General features: G+C 54.9%; 1 protein-coding gene across 1 annotated transcript; it reads right to left on the reverse strand.

Moving 5' to 3' along the window:
- Positions 1 to 1648: 1648 nt before the first annotated feature.
- On the reverse strand, positions 1649 to 6804 carry LINGO4 (leucine rich repeat and Ig domain containing 4). Its single transcript, NM_001004432.4, has 2 exons — positions 6615 to 6804; positions 1649 to 4102 (listed from the first exon to the last, which is right to left on the reverse strand). Exon 2 carries the CDS (start codon positions 4087 to 4089, stop codon positions 2308 to 2310), a length of 1782 nt encoding a protein of 593 aa, NP_001004432.1. The 5' UTR covers positions 4090 to 4102; positions 6615 to 6804; the 3' UTR covers positions 1649 to 2307.

Here is a 6998-nt window from a genome sequence, read left to right on the forward strand (position 1 = left end):
TTTGATTTTTTAATTTAGTAGCTACTAGAAAATTTGAAATTACATGTGTGACTTAGATTCTGTGTCTGTTGGGTAGCTCTGCTCTGGAGACTTTGAGACTTCAGAGACCTTGGGCAGCAGCATGTCCCAGCACCAGACAGTCATCTGTTCCCCAGAGCGTCAGGGGCTTCCCAGAGAAGATTTCTCTGAACAGCATTGCTGCTTCCGCATTGCAGAGAGGGCAACTAGAGTGAGAACCTTCAGCGTCTGACTCCCAAGTCCCAACCTAATAAGCTGCTGGTGGAAGGTTATGGAAAGGAGCGGGAGGGCTGTGCCCCAGGAAATCTGTCTGGTACATTATACACTAAAGAAGGGGAAGTTGCTGGGATGCTGATTGAGTTGTGTGTGCATGGTGGGTGGGGAGGTTGCAGGCTCAGGGAAACTCGTTTCTCAAGCAGGTCAGTTTCTCCAGCCCCACTCTCCTGTCTGCCTGGTTCTCACATTCACCTCTGGTACTACCCCCATATTCCTATCTCTGCCCCACTAAAGAGCGGCCTGCCTGTGAAGTCCAGCTTCACCTCCTCAGTGGCTCTGAGTGTCTCATCTGTCGGGCAGTTTGAGCTGGGAATCTTCTAATGAGTGGAGTCTCCTCAGAGCAAGGACAACAGCAGCAGGAATCAACTAGAAAGCTCACAATGCTTGCATCTGGTTTGGTGTAGGGGTGGGTGGGAGGAAACTAAGGACGCTGGGTAGATGCTACTGCGCAGAAAGGCTCCCTAGGGCCACGTGATTCTTCCCTTCTCAGTCCCTCCTCCGACTCCTCTCCTCTCCCTGTCACTCCTCCCTTCCAGTGATGCTGAGGCTGTTGCTCTGTTCCTTGAGCTTCCAGCATCTCTACTTCTTTTTGGGCTCTGCTTTGCCCTCTATTTGAAGCACAGTCAGTGGTACTCAGCAGTTTCACCTCCTACTCCACCTCCCCATCTGGGGGTCTCTGTAAATCAGTGACCTCTACCCGGAGACAGCTTCCCACTGGGGCTGCACTAAGCACAGAACCAGAGGAAGCTGCAGAAGGATGGTGGAAATTAACTAGGCAGGCAGTTACTGCTGTTCCCCCTTCCCTCCACTTCTCACTACAGCCTGCTGTGCCCTCCTCCCTGTTCCTCCAAGCCTAGTCTCTGCAGTGTCCTGGGTCTCTCTCCTTTGACAACTGCGGATTCTTGTGTTTGTTAGTCATTATCTTGGAGTTCTGAGTTTTCCCCAAGGGCACTAGGGATCTGTGACGCAAAAATGATGAGGAGCTCCCATGGAGAAATGGGAAAGAGAGGCAGCAACTGGGTGTCCCAGGTGGAATTTCTATGTAGGGGTCCCCTGGAAGGTAGAGGATCGCTCCTTCTCCAGTTCCAGAGATGGGGAGTGAAAGGGAAAGGATTGAGGCTGAAACCGGGGCTAGGAGTGCTGATCCCTCCGGGCATGGAGGTGGGGGTGCAGGGCGGTGAGGAAAGTGAAGGTGGGAGGGGCACTCCTTACCCTGTTTGTCAGGCAGGTTAGATGGAGGCAATGCCATTGGGACACATAATCAATGGGCAAGCAGAAAGAGAAGGAGCTGGGGAGATATAACAGAAATGAGGGTAGGAAATAGACTGAAGTAAAGAAAACTCCAGAGATGACATTTAGTTTTGGCTGCTACTGTTGTGGCCCTTTGACAGCAGGTTTAATGATCTGGTAGATAGAGGAAGGTGGTAGAGGCTCATGCAAACACAGTGCAGTATATGGTCTGTCCTCTCCATCCCACACTCTGTCCCCATCCTCTTCTCTGTAGCCTGTGGGTCCTTTGCTCTTATTCCTGTACATAGGGGCAGGGTTGGGGTGGGGAGCAGAAAAGAAAGGGACTCTGCCTGGTTGACAAACAGACTCTAAGGAGCAAGTGGCACTTCCCAGCCCCACCTCTGAAATAATCTTATAGCCGTGGTTGGCAATTGGTTATTAAAGGATATAAGCATGTGTGAAGAAAGCCTAGTGGTTAGACTAGCTGACTAGCGCTTTGATTATGTTTCCTGTTTTGTGTGTGGAGGGGGTGAAGCAGGGGCTGGACTAACGACGGGGTCTGCATCTGCAGCTCCCTGGGACCCTCAGAGAAGAAATGACAATGCTATCCTCAGACCGGAAAAGCTCAGGAAGCAGACTCTCCGGCAGGAGGCACAACGCAGGCGGGAGGTGCAGGAGAGCGGTGCTGCTCGGGACTAGGTTCTGGTTCAAGCAGCCTTGGTTCTGTCTTCCCCTTTGGTATCTGAAGCGGACTTGGTGGGTTCCCCACTGGGGAAGGAAAGGTCAGAAGAGCTTGGCAGTGACCCGGTTACCCCCAGAGTTTTTATCCCCAGAGGGCCGAGGTGCCACAAAGTCAAAGGTCATGTGATGTTTGACCCGACCTTTGCCCTTGCTCCAAAGGGCAATCAGGCCAAAGCAGAGGGTCACTGAGGTGAGGAAGGGGAGGAAGCCGACTGCCAGCACCATGGCCACACCTCTGCTATCCAGAAAAAAAGGCCCTGGGATCCCTGGCACGGTGATGTTGGGGTCAGAAAGTGTGCCGTTTGGTGGTTCCACCTGGATGACTTCCAGCCAGGTCCTCAGGGAGTCATTCCCAGCGACATTGCTAACCACACAGACATAGGCCCCTCTGTCCCGTAGCTGCACTGAGCGGATCTCCAGTGTCCCATCCTCTAGGACCCTTACTCTCCCAGCCCTGCCCAGCCAAGCCCCATGAGGCCTCATCCAGGAGACAGTGGGGGCTGGGTCTCCATCTCCAGAGCAGGAGAAAACCGCATGCCCGCCCTCCTCTGCAATGACCCATCGAGGCCCCGACTTTCGGATCAGGGCTGGTTTGCAGGTGAAGTGCCCTGGAGGCAGGATGTCTGAAAACTCCTTCAGGCTCTTCCCCTGGACATGATGGGGGCCAGCACAGGCAGGGGGGGACATGCCAAAGTCCAGGTGGCGGCGGAGCCGGAGCAGCCAGAGGAGGCGGCAGTCACAGGTTAGGGGGTTGCCAGACAGCCTCAAGGTGACCAGTTTGTCTGGAGAAGGGAAAGCTGTTTCCTCTAGTGTCTGAAGGGCGTTATCTGCCACATCCAGGAGGTGGAAGGCAGTCAAGCCATGGAAGGCATGGGCAGCAATGGAGGTGAGGCATGCCCCTGACAGGCGTAGCTCCTGGAGCCGCACCAGGGGGCTGAGCCTTCGGGCTGGGATGGCTGAGATGGGATTCTGGGACAGATCCAGGACCCTGAGGAAGCTGAGGTGGTACAGTGCTTGGAAGGGCACCGAGCTCAGATTGCAGCGAGTGATGGCCAGGCTGCTGAGATTGAGCCCAACCAGGCTCCCAGGGTCCAGAGCCTCCAGAGATGGCCAGAGGTGGATCTCCAGCTCCTTGAGCTGCCCCAGCCCCCGCAGGGCCCCAGCTGGCAGCCTCCCAATATCCAGTTCTCTAAGCCTTAGGGCCACTAGTGCCGGGAGACGGGCAAGGGCTAGGCCAGGCACTGTGCTGAGGTTGCAGCGCTCCAGGGTGAGGGTGCTCAACTTGGCTAGCCCTGCAAAGGCCCCCGGAGCCACAAATACCAGGTGGTTGTCCCCAACCTCCAGCTTCTGGAGGCTGCCTAGCTCCCCAAAAGCTCCATCTAGGAAGAGAACAATCTGGTTGAGGCGGAGGTCCAGCAGGGTCAGAGCAGAGAGGCCTGAGAAGACCCCAGGCCCCATGATTCTGAGCCGATTGCCCTGCAGCCTCAGGGTGAGTAGGCTTTGTAGGCCATGGAAGGCCCCAGGCTCAAGGGTTGAGAGCTGGTTGTAGCTGAGGTCCAATTCCTGGAGCAGGCTCAGGCGGGAGAGCATTCCCTGCTGGAGCCCCCACAGGCGGTTCCCACTCAGGTCCAGGAGCTCAGTGTCCAGTGGGAGTCCTCCAGGTACAGCCTCCAGTTGCCTGTGGCCACAGAGCACAGCCTGGGGCTGGGAGGTGCAGTCACACACAGCAGGGCAGCTGCCACCGCTCCCTCCAGGTAGGAGGAGGAGGAAAAGGAGCGGGGGCCATGGGGGCCAGGCTTGCTTTGGAGCTGTGGCTGCATCCATTCCCTCTTCAGTCCTGGAATAGATGATGACATGGCCCTTTTTGGAAAGTGGCTTCAGATGACGGTGACCCTGGACTTCCTGGCCCTTCTTAGAGAGGAGAGAAATTGGTCTATCTGTCTCAGCATTGCCAATAAGTAGGGCACAGAACCAGGAAGAATTCTTGTGTGCCACCTCCCTGGGGCTTCCTGGAGCTTCTCTTTGGGGAATCTCTGCTTTCCTCCCTCTTCCAGCCCTGGATAACCAGCCAAGTGCTTACTGGCTCATGGAACCCTAGCCAAGCCTGATTTCTGTGGGGAAAAAGCTTATGGGAATGGGGCAGGGAACAGCAGGGAGGTACTGAGTCTTTCTGTATGGGGTTTCCTGATGTCTGTGAGATCCAGGAGGATCTCAGGTCCCTTCTCCCTGATACCTGCTCTTCCCAAGCTCTGCTCTGTCCCTCTCTGCTCACGCTTATTCTTTCACATTATGTACCCATAGTTTTGCTTAAGGCTCAGGGAGATCATGTCCTTGGCCCAGAGTTCCCTGTCCTGACTGGAGAGGTCCTCACCTTGACTAGCTCACCCAAGGCTGGGAAACATGCAGGCCTCAGCTCCACCCCCATGCTGAGCCCTCTTCCAGCCTGGCCCAGGGCCTGAGCCCTGGACTAACAAGATCCAATCTCCCCAAAATGCCTGTGTGGACAACTGCCAAGCTGTACATTAGCTGTGGCATAGGATGCAGGAGGCACTTGACTGGGAAGCTGGGAATCCCCTGCAAGAGCCCAGGGGCAACTGCTTCTCTACTGCAATTGAAGTTGGGGTGTGTGAGAGACCCAAAGGATGCCCAGGTTTTGAGTTCTGTTGCTTGGTCTTCAGTCTTGGGCTTCCCTCATATCCCTCCTTAATGGTGTTTGGATTCTGGTCCAGTGTGTGGATCTGAGGGAGAGCTCTTGTCCCTTTTGGCCTGAGCTGCCTGAGAAATTCCCAAGAGACAGATTGTGGACCAGGGAGCATAGATAAGTGAGGAGAGACAGCATCTGACCAAGTGCTGTAGGATGGGGAGGAAGGGAGCCGTTGGCTGGCACAGCAGGTATCTGGGCACAGACAGTGTGCAGAGCCTGTAGACTTATAGTCAGTTTCTGGGTACCAGGTTCCGGGAACCCTCAGGAAGATGGTGACTACAATGGCTGAGGTGACAGAGGAGAAGGGGCCCTCTAGGTGATGAGGGCCCCTGACTCATCCTGTTAGATGTCAACAGGGACCCCAAGGCAGAGGAAGTACTGGAATTGGCAAGGGATGGCTACAGAGATAGGAGCAAAAGCCCATGGATGCTCTCTGGGATACAGCGCGTCTGAGTCTCTGCTGAGCGGCAATCCTGATCACCTTTGGGCTTGTGGGCTTCAGGCTCTCTGGGCTCTACAGGGTCAGCTTTCTACTACATGCCCTGTTTTTTCTCATGTGGAACTTAGGAGAGGCAGTTTAAGAGATGGTCATTTCTTCCCCTTTCCTTCCCACTCTCCACCTCCTAGAAGGATCATTCTAGTGGCTATCCTACAGCCACTTGAGAGGATTGTCCTAGTTGGGAAACTAAAGAAAGAGGCCAAAAGAGCAGAGGGATGCAGAAAACTGGTGTGAGGCTTGGGGATGAAAAAGAATAACGTGGGGCAAAGACTGCAGAGCAGACTCTTCTCGCCCCAAACTGACCTAACAGGTCTCTGTGGCATGCCCAGAGCTCTCCCGGGAAAGATGGCCCAGCCTCCCTTGTTCTCCCTAGGCTTGTTCTGGGAAGTCCACCTGACAGCTAGCTCTTCATCACTACTGCTGCAGTTCCTGCCCATCCTCGCTCTGCATTCAGCAAAAGTGCAGTGAAGCATGTAACCCAGCTTTCTTCCTTCCTGCTCCTGTGAGTTTCCCCTGAGTCCGCTGGGCCAGGGGCTGAGGGAGCTGGAGCAACCTATTTTATTTCTAAGGTGGCTAATTTAATCACAAATTTCCCTTGCCAACCTCCATGGCTGCAGGACCGGCTTCCGGCCACTTTGCAGGAAGCGAGATGTCAGAACCACTTTTTTGTCCCTTCAGTGGGGTGGGGACATCACCAAGACATGACCCTTGAAGGCATCACCCCTCAAGGGTAGGGAGCCTTTTTCTTGTCTTTATGTGGCAGTCCAGAGACACTTTTGAACCTGGGTATCCTGTATCCTCTTTAAAGCACACCTGACTGACAAATGGGAACTGTGTGGGGAGAGGGTTCCTGGGGGAAAGATTTCTGGAAGATCCACACCGATTGTGGAGAAAAACCCTTCCAGAGGAAGGGGAAGCACTGGGGAGATGGAAGGGAGGTCTCCTTGGAGCCCTTCCACCCAGGGGTACTTGGGATATTTGAGTTTCCCCCTCAAAGTCCCATGGGGCCAGGATTAATTGTTAGCAGTGTGGGGGCCCAAACCCTCTTGCCTTGAGGGGCCTGTCTGGCCCCTAGTCTGGCCTGTCTCGGAGAATGTTATGGAAAAGGGCGGCTGCATCTTTGGGACAGAGAGTGGGGGCACTTACCGGAGAAGCTGGAAGGTGGCATCAAGTTTGGCACTGCATCTGTCCAGCGCTGGGGGCCCTGTCCCATTCGAGCTGCACCTCAGGCCCCTGCACCTTCCCTGTGTGCCTCAACCCCCGCTGCCTGGCTGCCCGGCTGCTGCCTGCCGCTGCTGCTGCTGCTGTTGCTGCTGCGGCCGCTGCTGCCAAGACTGAGGTGGAGAAAAGAGCCAGAAAGCATTTCTCCTTTTTTTTTTTCCTCTCTCTCTCTCTCTCTTTTTAAACCAGGCAAGAATGAGTCTGCAGCAACCCTGTTGGTGCAAAATAAATAAATAAAGCAACCAGGGAGGGCTGCAGCAAGCACCACTACAGGCTGGCAAGTGACAGGGGAGGGAGCCAGGAGGGAGG

Source organism: Homo sapiens, chromosome 1 (genome assembly GCF_000001405.40).
Source record: "Homo sapiens chromosome 1, GRCh38.p14 Primary Assembly".
Taxonomy (NCBI): domain Eukaryota; kingdom Metazoa; phylum Chordata; class Mammalia; order Primates; family Hominidae; genus Homo; species Homo sapiens.